Source organism: Homo sapiens, chromosome 5 (assembly GCF_000001405.40).
Source record: "Homo sapiens chromosome 5, GRCh38.p14 Primary Assembly".
In the NCBI taxonomy this organism is placed as follows: Eukaryota; Metazoa; Chordata; class Mammalia; order Primates; family Hominidae; genus Homo; species Homo sapiens.
Genome location: NC_000005.10, coordinates 141,602,144 through 141,620,880, shown reverse-complemented (window position 1 = coordinate 141,620,880; position 18,737 = coordinate 141,602,144). Strand labels below are relative to the sequence as shown.

At 41.1% G+C, this 18,737-nt stretch overlaps 1 protein-coding gene across 4 annotated transcripts in view, besides 5 other annotated features; it reads left to right on the top strand.

The window, feature by feature from the left end:
• Window positions 1,527-2,186: a silencer, noted in NCBI's record as "silent region_16456". NCBI's record gives its function as "represses an Ori minimal core promoter by ATAC-STARR-seq in GM12878 lymphoblastoid cells {active_cell/tissue: GM12878}" and the evidence as "EXISTENCE:reporter gene assay evidence [ECO:0000049][PMID:35858748]".
• Window positions 1,527-2,303: a biological region, named in NCBI's record as "ReSE screen-validated silencer GRCh37_chr5:140998145-140998341".
• Window positions 1,881-18,737, top strand: part of DIAPH1 (diaphanous related formin 1) — a 103,980-nt gene continuing 87,123 nt past the window's right edge. For 3 of the 4 annotated variants that reach the window (NM_001079812.3, NM_005219.5, NM_001314007.2), the window contains exon 1: window positions 1,881-2,083. In NM_001079812.3, the coding sequence (NP_001073280.1) occupies window positions 1,967-2,083 (117 nt within the window). In that variant the 5' untranslated portion in view covers window positions 1,881-1,966. Of the gene's footprint in view, window positions 2,084-2,584; window positions 2,888-18,737 lie in introns of those variants that run through there. The other variant, XM_047416885.1, reaches the window with a different exon arrangement.
• Window positions 2,107-2,303: a silencer, noted in NCBI's record as "fragment chr5:140998145-140998341 (GRCh37/hg19 assembly coordinates)". NCBI's record gives its function as "represses an EF-1alpha promoter that drives an FKBP-Casp9 reporter gene in an ReSE screen in K562 erythroleukemia cells {active_cell/tissue: K562}" and the evidence as "EXISTENCE:reporter gene assay evidence [ECO:0000049][PMID:32094911]".
• Window positions 2,247-2,296: a silencer, noted in NCBI's record as "silent region_16455". NCBI's record gives its function as "represses an Ori minimal core promoter by ATAC-STARR-seq in GM12878 lymphoblastoid cells {active_cell/tissue: GM12878}" and the evidence as "EXISTENCE:reporter gene assay evidence [ECO:0000049][PMID:35858748]".
• Window positions 15,166-15,245: an enhancer, noted in NCBI's record as "active region_23308". NCBI's record gives its function as "activates an Ori minimal core promoter by ATAC-STARR-seq in GM12878 lymphoblastoid cells {active_cell/tissue: GM12878}" and the evidence as "EXISTENCE:reporter gene assay evidence [ECO:0000049][PMID:35858748]".

Sequence of the window (18,737 nt, the reverse complement as noted above, 5' to 3'; positions counted from 1 at the left end):
CCTTTCGCCTTTCTAGGAATGTTAATTCTTGCTAGTTTCCTATTTATGAAAGGAGAGGGAAATGGGCATGATGATGCATGTAATAAAAGCATAGTTAACATTCATTCAGCACTTATCCTACGTTAGGCCCTGTGTATGTATTCTACATTTATTATTGTAAATATAAGAAGTTAATAGAGGATTTTGGTTAAGAGTTAGACAAACCTGGGCAGATTTGAGAGGAGTAGAAGATGACTTCAGGTTTTTGAATCTGGGTGTTTAGAGTAGTGATGCTAGTTGGTGAAGATACACTGAGATAAAACATGTTAAGTGCTTAGCACAGTGCCTGACAGAAGAAGTTGCCCATTATCTGTCTATGTGAAGAACAATGCTAAATACTGTAGTAGCCACAAACATGAACCTTTCTCTAGAAGAGTTTACATTCCAGTCAGTAGTATGATAAATATTGTAGCAGATACAGACTGATACAAGAAAGAGGACTGATAGATGGGTCACTTCCTCCCCTCCATTCTCTGATTCTGTCTGTTCTCAACACTAGCTTAGAAAGTAGCTTTTGGACTTTTTAGACAAAATGTCTGGAAAGCTCAGCACTAAGTCAAGTTTGAAGTATGGGATGGACAGCTCTATGTAACATTCTATCCGATCACCATCAGAAGGTCTGGACCACAAGAGAGATGAATGCCAAATTTAGGAGCCAGCCAGCTTGGCAGAGTCCCTGGTATATCTCAGGCCCTTGACTAGGTACTGGGGCTCTAGAGTAAGTAAGTCACTGACTCTGCCCTTCAGGAACTTATGCTTGAAATCTTGCTAGCTGTGGTCAAGAATATTCAGTCCATATTGTGAAGGCCGACTGGTAGCCACGTAACTGTCACACAAGGGACAGATGTAGCTGGGAGAATGGATGAAATTGCTTAGGGAGAAAGTCATGCTAGAAGAGCAAAGAATATACTCTTGGAGAATACTCATTCTTTTCACTCATGTTTGGTTTATGTCAGTGGGGAATCCTGGTTAAACATAGGGTTTGGCAGCAAATCAGACTAAGCTGGGTTTAAATTTTATATCAATTATGCGTTCTTGGGCAAGTCACTTCAACTCTCAAAAGTCCAAATTTACTATTTATAAAATGGTGAGGCTAGCAGAATCTATCACATGGGACTGTGGGGACTTAGAAAAATACATGTAGAGTGTTTGCCTAGTGCCTAGCAGAGAGCAAAGGGCATGGTTAAGTGGTAACTGTTATTGCTGTTTAGGCACATGTTGGCAATAATTAGTTTGTCCTGATTAGAAACAATTAGATGGTACCTAACCTGGAATTCGAACTAGGAAATTAAACTCCAGAGCGAGTCTGGTTTAGTCTAGTGCTTGCCCTGGACCGAGCTCTGTTCTTGCTACCTTGCTTTCAAAACATGGTGGCTATCACTATAATTTTTTTCATGTGTTCCATGGGTATTGCACACATTGAAAACTGCATTCTCTTGGAAAACCTGTCACTAATTTTCTGCCAGGATAATGGTCTCACGCGATTTTTGGTCTGGGATGTGAGAGGGTCCAGGCTGTCAGGCTGTACAGCCACGTGGGCGCTGCGTGGGAGCCAGAGGCCTGCGCTGCTCCAACCGCCAGGGGGCGGTGCTCTCCGCCGCGGCCGCGGAGAGCTGCACCGCCCACTCACCACCCCCCCCCACGTGGGTCCGAATGGTTAGGTCCGCTGGGCAGGTAGCGCGCTTCCGCGGCTTCCCTCCGCCCCTCTCCCTTCCCCCATTGGTAGGGGCTGCGGGTCCGGGCGGAAGTGGGGCAGGCGGGCGGGAGCGAGGCGTCGTCGTTGTATATTCATGAGGCGCGCGCAGCCCGGCATGCTAATGAGGCGGGGCGCGGCGGCTGGCTAAAGAGCGACTGGGCGGCGGCGGGCGCGGAGCTGCCAGGCGGGAGCGGCGTAGGCGCGGGGTCGCCGGCCAGCGTGAACCGGGACATGGAGCCGCCCGGCGGGAGCCTGGGGCCCGGCCGCGGGACCCGGGACAAGAAGAAGGGCCGGAGCCCAGATGAGCTGCCCTCGGCGGGCGGCGACGGCGGCAAATCTAAGAAATTTGTGAGTGTCCCTCCCATCCCGCTCCTGCCTGGCCCCGTAACCGCCCTCTGGACCCCTGCAGCCGGCCCCTGGGGCGCCTGCCCGGCTTTGGGGAGCCGCCCCCGCGCCTTCCTTCCTCGTTTCGCTCGGTCCGCAGCTCTGCAGCCCGACATCCTCTCCCTTCGGGACCTCGGGAAGCCCCGGAATCCCACCCGGCTCTTGCCCCGGCCACCTCGGGGCTTCCCTCGTTCCCCAGCCCTTACATTCTGCCCTCCCGCCCGCATATCCCCGGCCGGCTCTCAGCCCCGTCTCTCCCCTCTCAGCCTCACTTCCTTTCTTCTTCCTCCAGTACCCGAACACGCCTCCTCTTTTTTGGTCCCCTCTTCTGGGTCCATTTTCTCTTCTTAACCTTACACCTTTTTTGGTATTCTCGTATTTCCTTCTCCTAAAGGTCACTTCCTTCTCCATGATTCATCCTTTTTACCTGCTAACTTTCCTCCCGCCCAGTCCCCCGTGGGCCCTCCGCCCGGTGTCACTTGATAATCCTTCCCCTGAGGAATGTTACCTGACTTGAGCCCTACCCCCAACTCCTTCTTTGGACGTTTGTCCTTGCGATTACAGGAATGGGCTCCTGCCCAGGTCCTATGGTCACTGGGGCATGACGTTTATTTGTTTACCAGTATTCCTCTCTCCAGAGAACCTCTCTCTTTGCCCTGTTGCTTATCACTTTTCAGAGGATTAGAACTCTCATGATTGTGCCCTTCTTGACCTAGGATGGTGATAAACCTCTCCTGTGGGAAGAAAGTTGGACTGCGAGTTCAAGAAGTTTGTAATTGAATTGTTTTTTATACATTTCCCATGATAACCGTCTCCTCTACTCCTTTTCTACTGCCTCTTGTGCCCCAAGGCGACTATCGGCTTCCCTTTGCGTGCCTGTAGAAGAGTAAGCTTTCCTCAAGTGCCAGTTACTTTCAATCCGAGTGAAGGAATAGTGATATACATGTAACCCTATCATATTTCATTACCTTTTGCCCACACCAACGCCTCTCTCCAGGGAGCCGTTTGGTTGCTTTTTTGCTATAAAAGCTTTGTAAGATACGGGGCACTGTCCAGGAGAGGAAAAGTCTTGGATATTGATGATCATTATAATAGCTAGTTATAACTGTAGCTCTTTTGTCTTCTCTTCCAGGTATTTATGCCCTTACACTAGTGTATCTTTCTACTAAACAAATGGCTTGTAACTCTTAGTCCCACCTCCCAACATTTTGACCCAGCTCCACAAATTTGGGAAGAAAACTGATAAAGCGATGGAAACAGGAAGAAAATGTTGTTTTATGACCTAGAGGGTTGAGATGTTAACCCTGGAGGGTTAGATGTTTAATTCTAAATAGAATTAAAATAGTGACTCATCTCTTCCTATTTCTAGCAAGACCAAGTGCTCCTGGACTGCCCTTTCCAGTGATATCTGAGATGTCAGTAACCATCTGTTTTTATCTGGTGAACATCTTTTTTTCCCCCCCTAGAAATATAAGGTTAAGGGTATTGACACCCCCTCCTTCTTTGGTGACTAAAGCAGCATTTTTGTATGTTTCTTTAGGATAAGAATTGACCCCTCCCCCCCGTTAGCTTTCCTTCCAAAACTTAAGTTCTAGGGCTCATATTCCTTCTATTTCTGTATCTTTTTGTTTTGATTTTATTTCCATGAGTACTGTTTGACCTTCCTCACCCAAATTCCAGCTATTGCTGCTGACTTGTGGTGACCTCAGTGACTTGTTTTCATGTCTTGAGTAGAATTTTATATGTACTCTATTTTATCTAACAATTATTTCACGAACTTGTGAAGTCTACTATGTGTGTGGTACTGTAAGGTGAGAAACCTGAGGAAGCTCAACCCCTTTTCACCTGTCTTTTGGAATGTCCATGAAGTCTTCTATATGTTTAATGGATTTGGCTCAGGGTTGTAGGTATTTGCTTTAGAGAGGATGGAGCTGAACCAAGTTCTCTTTTCTTTCTGCGGTGTTAGTCTTAACCCTTAATCTGCTGAATTTTTAAAACTAAATAGCTCAGGTAATGAGGAAAATTGCATTAGTAGCTACGGAATTGGAAGGTTTCTAGGAAAGTAGTGCTGCTTAACCCTTTTATTGCCAAATGTAACCTATCTCAAGGCATCAGAATATTCTTTCTTCCTCTTGCTCCTTTTATGAGAACTCTGTGGAAATGAGAGATGAGGAGGAGCATTGCAATCCACTTCTCTTTGTGTCTGTGTATGTATACGTGGGTGGGTGGAGTGGGCGAGATTGCTGGTGTGCTTTTGATACCCGTGGCTTAGTTTTCTTGAACTATAGGCTAAAACTGAACTCAAAGGTCTTTCGCCGCCTCCACCTTTTCTAGAGTATGTGTCCTCTGGAACTCCATTAAGAATGTACTGTATAAAACTGCACTGGTTTGGACTAAGTGTGCCCGAAGGTTGTTTGCATTTGAGGGTTTATAATTCCTTTAGCTGCTACATACCTTTCCTGGCTTATGCAGGTTCTAAATACGGATTAACTGGTGAGAACACAGAGCTCACAAATTGTCTGAGATCTGCTCTTACCCTCTGAGGCATCTTGTGTGGAAAGGAGATGGACCCTCAGTTTAAAAGTGGTTGGGCATCATCTTTTAAAAACACATGATTGTTAGACGTGCTGACAGTGAGTGGCTGAAGCCAGGCTGCCTGGTATTACCCCTTGGTTCTTCATGAGTCTGTCTTCTCCTGGGCCATGAGCATACCCCTTCTCCGGCATTATTCCATTTCCTTTCACAAGTCCTTAAGATGAAGGAAAATAAAAATTTTAGGTGAACAGAGGGTTTTCTGACTTTTCAGCAGTGATCAATGTGGGTGTCAAATAGACTGATTTCCAAAATATACGTAAGGGGAATAAGTAGAACCGGGATGTTAGGAGGCTGCAGAGTATTCTTACATTTAATAGACTTTGTATGCACTCTCATATAATCGAGAAAGTGATGCATTGTAAGAGAGAATATTGCTTCCTGATTTAACTAGGAGCATTAGCGAGAATTTTTTTTTTCTTTTTTTGAGATGGAGTCTCGCTCTGTTGCCCAGGCTGGAGTGCAGTGGTGCAATCTCAGCTCACTGCAAGCTCCGCCTCCCGGGTTCATGCCATTCTTCTGCCTCAGCCTCCCCAGTAGCTGGGACTACAGGCACCTGCCACCACGCCTGGCTAATTTTTTTTGTATTTTTAGTAGAGACGGGGTTTCACCGTGTTAGCCAGGATGTTGTCGATCTCCTGACCTCGTGATCTGCCCACCTCGGCCTCCCAAAGTGCTGGGATTACAGGCGTGAGCCACCGCGTGCGGCCCTTTTTTTTTTTTTTTTTTTTTCTTTTTCTGAGACGAGTCTTGCTGTGTCCAAGGCTGCAGTGCAGTGGCGCGATCTCGGCTCACTGCAACCTCCACCTCCCGGGTTCAAGCGATTCTCCTGCCTCAGCCTTCCAAGCAGCTGGGATTACAGGTGTACGCCGCCACACCCAGCTAATTTTTGTATTTTTAGTAGAGACTGGTTTCACCATGTTGGCCAGGCTGGTCTTAAATTCCTGACCTCGTGATCCGCCAGCCTCAGCCTCCCGAAGTGCTGGGATTACAGGCGTGAGCCACCTCGTCCGGCCAAGAGAATGATTTTTACTATTATTAAAATTATTAAAATTAGTTTAATTTTGGATTCCTATATTGAGTTATGATCATGTTGCAGTTACACGGTCTTCTAAATGCAAAGTAATAGAGTATAAATGTTTAGTAGTAGACTCCTGTCCAAAAGGAGACAAATTAAAGGATGCCAGGCAGAAAGAAGTGGAGTTGTTCGTGCAGATTTCTGCTTATATCCTCTTAAAACATTAACTTTAATCCAAAAGTTTGCAGAAAACTGAAAAATATACAGAGAGCTTTGCAAAAGTTTGCAGAAAACTGAAAAATATACAGAGCGCTTTGTACACCTTTTTTTTTTTTTAACAGATGATGAACGCAAGGATTATATAGTTTGGAAAGAGGGAGGGGAGCCTACAGGAACGTTAGTGAGATGTTTGAGATGACAGAATGGTAGCTTAAAGATTTCCGCCATTCTTCCTGCCTTGTCTTAAGGACAGATCATGAGTCTACTTGGTATGGTTACCTGTACTTTTTCAAAGAAAATTCTCCCTCACAGGAGGTGAAAGTGAGGGAATGCCTTAGAATTAAAATCTCTGCCTTGGGAGAGTTGGTAAATTTTTTTAAAAAGCTGAAAATTTTATGACCCGTAAATTATGTTTATTATGAAAGCTAAGAAAATAGTGAGACATGATTTAATTTTGTTGATGGGTGCACGGGTCAGAATAATTTTATTTCCTGTGTCTTAGAATCACCTTTTGTTATTCCCCAAGGCCCTTGGTATTTTATAAATGTATTGCCAGGCTATTCTCAGGGAGTGTTATATATCTTCCATGAAATGTAATAGAGATTTAAAAGATAAGTTGTATGTCACATATGATTTAGAAGAACAGGTTAAAATAATTTTTATTGATAAATACTAGATGTTATAGAGAAGCAAAGAGTTTGTATATGCAGGTTTATATATCCCTTTTTATGTCCCAGTAGCTGAAATTATTTATGGCTACAAAAATCATCCCCATTTTGAAACAAACTTTGTATTACTTAAGTGGTTTTCTTTTTTCATTGAGCCTCCTTTTCTCAATTACCTTTGTTTGAAAGCAGTAGGCAAAAAATTCATTTTATGCTACCAGCAAAGCATTGGATGTTTGCCCCTCCTTGGGGTTAGGTGAGACAAAGCCACACTCTCCCCTTGCCTGGCTGCCTGTCACCTCCTCCCTGTGTTTTTATTCCTTTCCTACTTACGTGGGGGCTGATTTGAGCGCTATGAATAGCCAGGCCTTTGGGGAATTAGGGGCAGTCAGAAGCTGTTGATAATAAAATTTCTTAAAACTTTTAAGCTAAAATTGAAAAGTAAAGAATAATTACTATGAACATATTTTACTGTATTTCTCCTTTTTTTTAACACGTTTCTTAGGATCAAGAAACCCTTTTTAAGGAAGTAAAAGAATTACTGAAGGAAAAGAGAAATAGACTAATATTTTAATGAATTTTACCACTGATTACAAGATAACTCTCATTGTTCTTTCAACTTTGAAATTCTTACTTCCATCCATTATTAAATCTTACTGTGAATGGTACCCTTAAAACTTCAGAGTTGGAAGGGACTTTAAATGTCATCAAGTCCAAACACCCACTCAGTGCAACAGTCACTTCTGCAGTTGTAGGTTGGAAACATCAGGGGGCTAAGAGGTGGAAATTGGATGAACAAGTGGAGGAAGAGGAGCAGAAATTTTGGATTCTACATTTTCTTTACTAAATTTTAGGATCTTGGGAATGGCTGGAGTAGTAGAAAGAGATTATATAAAAGGAACAGATATACTAGAAGCTGTGAGATTGAAAGGAAAAAGATTGAAGAAATTGGCTCTCTATTGCTTGGCTCTGTAACAGTTAGGGAGAGTCAGTTTGCCCTTTAAATATTTGTTTAAATTTCTTTCCTCCAAGGCGGGGGATAGAACAGATAAGGGGATGCAAATGAGAGTTAGCATAATGGAATTGAATTAAAGGAAACATTCTCTTATGGAGGATGGGAAAATTCCATCCTTGGTGGTGGATATGACTGGTCCTTAGTAGCTATCTGGGAATTTTGTTAGGGTGGCAAATATAGGTAGAATTTATGGTGTCCTGTATAATTTTCTGGATTTCTGATTTTGTGACTTATTTCCTGTCTTGTGAGTAGTGTCATCTGAAGGCTTTGGATTTGTAATTTCTTTTAAGATTTAAAATACTGTAAGGACCCAAGACAGGATGATTTATAAACCATTTTTGATACTGAAGGTCACAGAAAACCAAAGAGCATACGTTGGTAGTTGGCCTTACATCTCAGATCTGTCTGTGTTTTATTTTCAGTGTCAGAACTTTAAGATCAAGTAGAAAAGATACCCTTCATCTCTATTTTTACAGCATTATTGATATATAATTAAAATACAATAAACTGCATATTTATTCATGAAACCATTTCTATAGTCAAGATAATGAATATAGCAGTCACCTTCAAGTTTCCTCCTTCTCTCTTTGTTATCCCTCCCTCTCACCCATCCTCGTCCTCCCATCTCCAGATTACCACTAATTTTCTTTCTGTAACTATAGATTAGTTTGTGTTTTCTAGAATTTTATATAAATGGAATCATACAGTATGAACCCTTTTGCTGGGGCTTCTTTTATTGTGATGTGTGGTCTTTCATATATCAATAGCTTAATCCTTTATATTGCTGAGTACTATTACATTGTATGGATTTACACAATTTGTTTATTCATTTACCCTATTGATGGACATTTGGGGTGTTCCCAGTTTTGGGAGTGCAGTTTTTGTCTGTGAACATTCTCATACAACTTTTTGGGCTGGACATATGTCTTCATTTCTCTTGGGTAAGTACCCATGAGTGGAATGACTGGGTCATTTGGTAGATCTATGCTTAATTGAGAAATTGCCAAACTGTTTTCAAACTGTTTTCCAAACTGTTTTCATTTTACATTCTTACCAGCAATGTGTAAAAGTTCCAATTTCCTGTCAACTGTTAGTATGATCAGTCTTAAATTTTAGCCATTCTAGTGGGTATGTGATGATATCTCAGTATGCTTTATTTATTTATTTATTTATTTATTATTTTTTGAGACAGAGTTTCACTCTCGTCGCTCAGGCTGGAGTACAGTGGCATAATCTCGGCTTACCGGAGCCTCTGCCTCCCAGGTTCAAGGGATTCTCCTGCCTCAGCCACCTGAGTAGCTGGGATTACAGGAGGCTGCCACCACACCCAGCTAATTTTTGTATTTTTAGTAGAGATGGGGTTTCATCATGTTGGCCAAGCTGGTCTTGAACTCCTAACTTCAGGTGATCCACCTGCCTGGGCCTCCCAAAGTGCTGGGATTACAGGCGTGAGCCACTGTGCCCAGCTGCAGTATGCTTTAATTTGTCATTCCCTAATGATGTTGAACATCTTTTCTTGTCCTTACTTGCTGTTTATATATCTTTCTTAAGAATCTGTTCAAGATTTTGCCCATTTGCTATCTATGTATCGTCCGTGAAGAATCTGCTCATGATTTTTCCTTCCTTCCTTCCTTTCTGTCTTTTGTCTTTCTTTTGTCTGTCTGACTTTCTTTTGTCTGTCTTTCATTCTGTCTTTGAAATGGTAGTCTCACTCTGTTGCCTAAGTTGGAATGCAGTAGTGCAGTCATGGCTCACTGCAGCCTTAATCTCCTGGGCTTCAGGAATCCTGCCTCAGCCTCACAAGTAGCTGGGACTACAGGCGTGTGTCACCACTTCTGGCTGTCTTTTCATTTTCCTAACAGTGTATTTTGAAGAACCAAAAAACTTAATTTTGATGGAGTCCAATTTTTTTTCATTTTTGTTTTGTGTGTTACATTTCAAAAATCTTTGCTAAAATTATGGTCGCTAAGGTTTTCTCCTCTGTTTTGTTTTTTGTTGTTGTTAAAAGAGAATGGATCTCACTTTGTTGCCTGGTCTGGAGTGCAGTGGCACAATCATAGGTCACTGCAGCCTTGAAACTCCTGGGCTCAGCCTCCCCAGTACCTGGGACCACCATGCCTGGCTAATTTTTCTTTTCTTTTCTTTTCTTTTTTTCTTTTTTTGAGGCAGAGTCTCACTCTGTCACCCAATCTGGAGTGCAGTGGTGCAATGACAACTCAGTTGCAGCATCGACCTCCTGGGCTCAAGCAATCCAGCTGCCTCGGTCTCCTGGAGTATCTGGGACTACCGGCATGCACCACAATGCCTGGCTGATTTTTTTCTTTTTCTTTTTTTTTTTTTTATAGTGGTGGGGTTTCACTATGTTGCCCAGGCTGGTCTTGAACTCTTGGGCTCAAGTGATCCTCCTACCTTGGCTTCCCAAAGTGCTGGCATTAAGGCATGAGTCACTGCACCTGGCCTAATTTTTTTTATGTTTTATTTTTGTAGAAATGACGTCTCGCTAGGCGGGGTACGGTGGCTCATGTCTGTAATCCCAGCACTCTCGGAGGCTGAGGTGGGCAGATCACGAGGTCAGGAGTTTGAGACCAGCCTGGCCAAGAGACCAGCCTGTCCAATGTGGTGAAACCCCATTTCTACTAAAAATACAAAAATTGGGCTGGGCACAGTGGCTCACACCTGTAATCCCAGCACTTTGGGAGGTCAGGGTGGGCGGATCACGAGATGAAGAGATCGAGACCATCCTGGCCAACATGGTGAAACCCCGTCTCTACTAAAAATACAAAACTTAGCTGGGCGTGGTGGTGCGTGCCTGTAATCCCAGCTACTCGGGAGGCTGAGGCAGGAGAATTGCTTGAACCTGGGAGGTGGAGGTTGCAGTGAGCCGAGGTTGTGCCACTGCACTCCAGCCTGGCGACAGAGTGAGACTGTCTCAAAAACAAAACAAAACAAAAAAATTAGCCGGGTGTGGTGGTGGGTGCCTGTAATCCTAGCTACTTGGGAGGCTGAGGCAGGAGAATTGCTTGAACCCAGGAGACGGAGGTTGCAGTGAGCCATACATCATGTCACCCTTGGGCGACAGAGCGAGACTCCAACTCAGAAAAAAAAGAAAGAAAGAAAGAAAGAAATGGGGTCTCACTATGTTGCCCAGGCTGGTCTCGAACTCCTAGCGTCAAGTGATCCTCCTGCCTTGGCCTCCCAAAGCCCTGTGATTACAAGTGTGAGCCACTGTGCTCGGCTTCTCTCTTTTCTTCTAGAACTTGTATAGATTTAGCTTTTAAATTTCCCTCTTTTCTATCATGCATATGTGAGTTCCACATGTTCACTTTGGGATATAAATTGTCACCTGTGGTCAACAGAGAACATTTCTGATACTCTGAGGATTTCGGGACTTTCATTCCATTTATCGTGGAAGCATTTTTTTCTTGTTAGGTGGTGGTGTTAGCAACCTTTTGTTTTCCTGTATTCAGTATACTACAGATTGTGTAATGCCAGTCTTCCTGTTTCTAAATATTAATGAATGTTTAGCATCTTTATAGATAAGGAAAATTAATTCATTCCAGACTAGGATAGGGAATAACAACAGTAGCAGTAATAAAAGCAGTTGTTTGTTGCATACTTAACTGTATCCCTAGTGCAGTGCTAAAGAGCCTTAGATTTATTATCTCATTAATCTCTACATTGACCTTATAAAATAGGTACTGTTATTATTCCCATTTTATAGGTAATGAAACTGGAACTCAGATCAAGCAGCCTGCTTGAAGACATAGAACTAGTTAGTGACAGAGCTAGGATTCAAACCTAGGCCTAGCTGATTCAAAACTCATGGACTTACTCACTACATTGTACTGACAGTTTATGTGTGTCCAGTTTTTGTGCCTGCAGTGTAAAACTGGACTGCAGTGTAACTATTCACTGCTAGGAATTTCTTAGAAAATTTTGGTGGTATTCCCTTAGAGTTCTTTGGTCATCTACAGTCTATTAAAATGAACTGGATTCTCCTAGAGTTCAGTTGGCAGGAAAAAAGTACTAGGCTTAGATGTAAAAAGCGTAGTGGCTAAATGCCTGTTTTTTTTTTTTTTTTTTTGCATTTAGTAATTTAGACTTTGAAGCCATTGGAAGAATCTTAATTAAACCTTTTTTAGGCATGAAAAAATAGCTATTACAGTGCTTGCAAAACCTATCTTTCGCTTGGCTCATGCGTTATTAGGATGATGCTTAAATTATTATTTTTTAATGTAACTGTGTCTCCTTTGTAAGTAGAACAGCTCTAACATCATCACCTGTCAGGAGTTTTAGTTGTTTAAATTGCTGAGAGCCACAAGTAGTGGTAACAATGTTACAGGAAGGGGGAAGCTGTTACTAGACTGTCTCTATAGTTATCCTTTTTATATTTTAAATTTGACGTTTGGTATTCTTAAAGACCTCTGTTTGTGCTCCTGAAATTTGACTGTTGTAATGATTGCAAATGGCTAATAACCAGGATCTCTTCTGAGTCTGGGAACTGCTGAAGTTTGTTCTTTAGACCTGGCAGTTATTTGCCAGTGGTTAATAATTAAGACATTGCCACAGAGGTCCAAGTACCTGGAACTGGGATTTGTTTCTGGTGACTAGTGGTGAGGAGTAGGGAAGAGTTTCTGTTGATTTCCTGAGTCTACATGTATCTACTCTAGATCCAAAGACTGACCAAGAAGTCATGAGACTGTCCTATCAGGTTCAGTTCTTGCTCTTTAAGAAATTGTAATTTCAACCACGTCTATAAAAGAGGGATAGAAAAAGCTCTAAGGCTGTGATCTTAGACTTTAAATGCTGTAGAAATTCATAGAAGTGAGGGAATTAAGTGGAAAGGCTATTGGACTGACAGAAGGCCTAAGTTTCAAAATCTTAGAATGCTGGAGTCAAAAGGATGCTAAGAATTATCTAATTCAACCCCTTTATTTTTTATTTTTTAAGAGTCAGAGTCTTACTCTGTTGCCCAGGCTGGAGCGCAGTGGTGCAGTCATGGCCCACTGCAGCCTGGAACTCCTGGGCTCAAGCAGTCCTCCCACCTCAGCCTCCAGAGTAGCTGGGATACAGGCACAGGCCACCGGGCCCAGCTATCAACCCCTTTACTTTATAGATTAAGAAATGTTGACTAGACAAGTGATCTGTCCAAATTTAAAACTAGAAATAGAACCTTTATCTCCCACCCTGTCTGAATTATTCTTTCCATATGTAGCTGCTTAGTTGTGTCTTTACCACTAATTAACCATGTGAACTCTAAGCAAGTTATTTTACTTTTCTTCATCTTTTTATCTTTTGTAAAATTAGGGGGTTATTATGAATCATTTCTAACATCTCTGCTAATGCCCCAGATACTGTAAATGACCCAGAATGTAATTGCGGGCAGTGTTAACTTAGCTTCCTAGAAGATGGGGGATATGACTGGGCCTTGAATAAAATCCAAGATTTGGCAGAGTAGAGAGGGAAAGAATTCATGAGATGGGGAGCAGTAGAACAAAGGCTTAGGTGTGAATATGTGGCTGTAGTAAAGAGAAATGGCCTGATTATAGCAATTATATGAGGTTTAGTAGAACCATTTAAGAAAGGTAAAGCCACTTCATAGAAATTATTTTATCCCTGGTAAGGGCTTTAAGGTTCCCTTTCTATAAAAACCTGCAGAAAGCAGGATTGAAATTTAACATTTTGTAACAGGTTGTAATACATGTTGATGTCCGTTTTTGGCCATGTGATAAGTGGTGGTGACAGTAAGTACATTGGAATATCCAAGAAGGAATAGTGTTAAGGTCAGTTTTCAGCAAGTTATTTCCGCTACGTAGATGGAGTTTAAAAAGTTAAGTTTATTTGATTTTCAGTCCTTACCAATTTTAATACATCGATCTTTTTAGACTTTCAGAAATTAGATTTTAAAAGGCGTGACTCTTCAGCTGGATCTCAAGGATGTATAAGAAAATTATGGGCTCAGATAGGTAATGCCATTGTTGAAACAATCTGAGTCTATCTTTGGGCCCTGTTGTTTCTTCTAAATGTTCTTTAATACAGTACGATTTAGCTTTTGATTGCATACTTATTTGAAGTATTCTTCTGTCTTTCTTGAATGCAAAAATATATGTTTATATCTTATTTTGGGGTCTTATCTCCCATCTAGATTGTAAGGTTTCTAAGAGTAGTGGTAGTATTTAGCTCATGTTAGTTAATATCCTTTATGTATTTTATATTTTAGTTTTAATGTTAACCTTGGGAATCTTTTTCTTTTTTCTCATCTTAAGGTTTGCTTCCTTTTTTTTTTTTTTTAATAGCCTTGGGAATCTTGATTATTTTCAAGGCTCTCTGTTTCTGTGATCTAATATAGGAGACTGACAGTTTTGAAAACATTAATTCTCTCTCACCAAAGTAACTATGGGGCAGAGAGAATCACTAATGTAACTATATGTGACCAGAAGAACTCTGTTGAGAAGAGATTATTATTCATCTCTGGAGAGATAGTTTTGACTTGTGTTTAATGAAAGAACATGTCTGTAGGATTAAAAAAAACTCTTATGTTATTTTACATAGTGTAAGGCTATCAACTTTTATTATTAAAAATGAAAGCAGGCACTTTGGGAGGCCGAGGTGGGCAGATCACCTGAGGCCAGGAGTTCAAGACCAGCCTGGCCAACATGGTGAAACCCCGTCTCTACTAAAAATACAAAAATTATCCAGGCGTGGTGGTGCCCAGTTGTAGTCCCAGCTACCCGGGAGGCCGAGGCAGGAGAATTGCTTGAACCCAGGAGGTGGAGGTTGCTGTGAGTCGAGATTGTGCCATTGCACTCCAGCCTGGGCGACAGAGCGAGACTCTGTCTCAAAATAAATAAATAAATAAAAATGAAAGCAGGATTTGACTCAGTGCCCTTAGGGATTGTTACATACATTTAAAGTGAATAATTGCTAAGTTCCCATATTATTTGAATCTATTAATATGATCTTTAATGGCTACAGAAAGGTTTACATTGAGTATTAAATGAAGAGAACAAGGAAGAGTTTTCAAGTCCTCAGGGTATGTCTGGATATCCACAAAAAGTACTAGTGGCAGTAGGAGTGCACCATTTTTTTCATAAGCACATATACTCCCACCCAGAGCTATAAGAATTCCTTCAGTTCCTTCATTTGGCAATAGAAGCAAAATAGTTTTGGACTATTCTAAAATTATTTCATTTTGCATGGGGCCTAGAGGGATATTTTTAGTTTTCTTAGTTTTTGTGAAAGATGTGTGTCAGGCTTAGAGGTCTCTAGTGATTTCTTTCTTGATTCTTGTATTTTTAAAAGATGGGAGTTGGTCTTAGTTGGCAGCTCTTTGCATCCGCCAGGGCTGTTCGTTACTTACTTCTAGGTCTGTGGGTGACGTCTGTTTCCTGTGATTGAAACCGCAAGAAGAAGTGGTGAGAAGCCACTGTAGGATATGTATTATCAGGCAAGCAGCAGGCATTGGGCTGCCCTCAAAAAGAGCAGTAGTACCTAAGTATAGTCTTTAAGGAGTCGGAAGAGACCCTAGAAATGATCTGACCCAGCCTCTTAAAATTAGGAGGACACTGAGGCCTAGTGGTATTAAGTTGCTCAAAGTCGTGTAATTAGATGACCTAGGTTTTAGACTCCACTAATATTCTTCTCAGTATTCTTTCTCACATTGCATTGTCATACCTAAACTTTGTAACTGTGCCTTGTCAGGAGTGTTTCCTTAAGCAAAATACCACTGGAGAAGAGTAAATACTGATAGGCATTTTGCCTATGGTAATTGGATGATGATGTTTTGCTTTTAGATGATGTGCTAATGATTTTTTGTGTGTGCTTTTTTTTTGAAAACACATATATATTTTTGAAACAATACGTAAGAACCCTAAATTTCTATTTTTCATTTTTATTTTACAGTCTTTGTATATTTTAGTCATTATCTCTATGCACAAATATTTTTACAACATTGCCTTTATAGTTTACAGATGTTTTTTGCTTTTAAAATAGTGTCATAAAAATTTTCCAGCTTTCTAATCTTTGAAAATTGCCACCTTAATTTGAAATGGAAATGTATGTGTATTCTAAAAGTGATAGTTTTTTTCTAAGAAAATACAAATGTATATAAAAAGAGTAAAACAGTCCCATACTTTGTTTTTCAGAAATTAATTTTTTTTAATGGTTAGAACCAAAGAGAACAGTACATGATATATGGAAGTTTCTTTAGATCCTAAGTACTTTGGCATGAAATTCTGTGTGTGTTTGTGTTAGAACATAGTTCAACACAAGTACAATTGCTAGAAGTATCAGAACAACCTTATTTTAACACTTATATTTCTGGTGGTAGAGAAATAATAAGATTTCATCTTCATGCTCATCTCCCCTCCTCCCTAAGATTTTTTCAAAATCTTATTCTGAATGTGTACCGGGCCAAAAAATATTTTCTGTGGTTTCGTAGGATCAAGTCTGGCTTATTGAGTAGTAGTATAATTTTTGGATTAGTTAAGCGGTTGTCAGTAGGGGTAGGATTATTTCTGGGTATTCAGGAGTGGTGTGAGGATACAAAAAAGAGATTATTTAGAAATGAAAGGACTTTAGGAATGGGATTTAAAACAAGGTGTCCTCATACTTGGTGCCTGTATGTAGAAGCGGTAGCAGTTGCAGAAACTTCCTGCTGTCTGCTAGGCTTTGGGTGTGTCACACACATGCCCACCCTTGAGGAAGAGTAGATGTCCTGCTACTCACATCATAACATGGGAGGAGAAGACAGTTGCTACGGCGATTGGGAAACAGCATTCCTGAGTCACTGACTATTTCTAAATGAATGGACAACACCCCTTTTTTTAAAGGAGTGATCATAGTCTTCTCTAAGCTTAGGCAGCAGAGGGAGAGGCCTAGTAAGAAAGGAAGAGCAAGTATCAATATTTGAAGCTTGAGAAATATGTTGAAATTTTGGAAAAATTGGTTAACATTATGTTTTGTTTCCTGTATATGTATTCAAAAGTTGTATTGGAACCTTAGAATGTTTGAAAGGAAGGAAGCTTTGCTTACTGTTCTGTCACCAAATGACAGACTATGCATGCTGGCTTTCACCTTCTGAACAGCAGAAGATACCGGTGTGCCTGCTACACCTTGTGATACTTGATAGGAAAGTAGGACTTCCAGACTCTGAGCACTTTCTCTGTTGGCAGCTTGTTTGCCCAAACCATGTGTGCTTTATAGTGCAAGGACTGGCAGTTTGTATGGATGGACTTGGAGGAATGCAGCATCCTCAGCCCGGTTTCTACCTGTTCTGCTGTGCTGGAATAGTGATACCAGCGTGGCCTTTCCTCCTTCCCTCTGGGCTATCAACTACCTAGGATGCCGGCTGCCAGTTGCAGGGCTTTAGGATGAGCTGAGCTGTAGGCAAAAAGTTACTTTTTCCCTTTCCCCAAGGTACTTGCCTTCTTGAACTATTAGAGAAGTGATACTTTGGACCTGTTAGAGGATCCAATTCTAATATTAAGATAGTTTTCCCCTCATTTTAATTATAATTGGGAAATAAGGTTTATTGGAAAGCAGACTCACCAACAGTTTTAGACAGTTGTGCAGGACATTAAGTTAGTTGCTTTACATTTATAAGTAAATTATTTCAAATTTATAAGCAAATTATTGAAATACAGAATGGACTACAGTTACTACTGTTCTTTATACGGCATTTCTAACTTGTGCTTGACACTGGCCACTGCCTAGAATCTTTCATTGTTCCCGGGTGGGGTTAGGAAAAAGATGCTGATTTTGGAAGGCAGGGGTAGATTGATAGAACTCTTTTAATTAGGAATAAAAGATATTGGACTGTCTTTTACTATGTTTCCTTTGTTGGCTGTTGTATGAATTCTAACAAGTTTATTATTTATTTATGTTTTCTCAGCTTTATTGAGGTATAATTGACATACAAATTGTTTATGGTATACAACATGATGTTTTGATATATGTATACATTGTGGAACTAATGAGTTTAACTCTCCAGTGCTTAGTTTAGCTGTGGGGCTGCTGAGGCACTCTGAACCAAATGGAGGAGCTGCTACAGTCTTACCTAATCCTTCAGCACTTTTTCCTCAGTGGTCATGGAGAACATGAGCCTATCATTTCCATTTCTGGGGACTGCTAGGTAATCTTCAGCCTTCTTTCCCTTAAACACATTTAGCTTTTCTAGGTTTATAGTTTATATTTTTAAATTCCTGGTCATTTTGTGCCCCTCTTCTAGACTTCCTTTCCTCTGAGGTACCCTTTTTCTTTCCTTTATTTTCTTTTTGAAGTGGGTACTCCAACTCTACACAACGCCTGTGTAGGCTGCAGGCACCAATAAGTGGTGATGTCAGAATCTAGTTTGTTTCTCTGTAAATGCTAGATGAAATGTTGATTCAATTGCTGTTGTCTTTGGGCCATTCCTTGAAAATGGAAGGGAAAGTTCTTCTGTGCATTTAAAGTTGTCCATTATTTCATTTTCTTTAGTTCTGACTGACTTCTGTTTAAGGAGTGGGAATTGAAGAAGGGAAACTAGCCAGTTTCAGTGGTTCCATCATATATTATTTAACTTTTACAAAGTACTTTGCAAAACAAAGTGCTTTATATCTGTTTTATTATTTATTCTTCATACTAGTCCTCTGAGACAACAGAACCCTAGAGATAGGAAGACTGAAACTGTGGTCGATTTTTAAAAGCTTACCCTGACTTTACATTCCTTTAGTGGAAATGTGATAAATTTTGTGGCAAAGGCCAGGCGTGGTGGCTCACGCTTGTAATCCCAGCACTTTGGGAGGCCAAGGCAGGTGGATCACGAGGTCAGGAGTTCAAGACCATCCTGGCTAATACGGTGAAACCCCGTCTCTACTAAATATACAAAAAATTAGCCGAGTGAGGTGATGGGCGCCTGTAGTTCCAGCTACTCGGGAGGCTGAGACAGGAGAATGGTCTGAACGCAGGGGCGTAGCTTGCAGTGAGCCAAGATTGCGCCACTGCACTCCAGCATAGGCAACAGAGTGAGACTTCGTCTCAAAAAAAAAAATTTTTTTTTGTGGCAAAGCTAGATCAGGCCTCAATGGTAACTGAATTCAAGATCCTATTATGACCCTCTGTTGCCTCAGT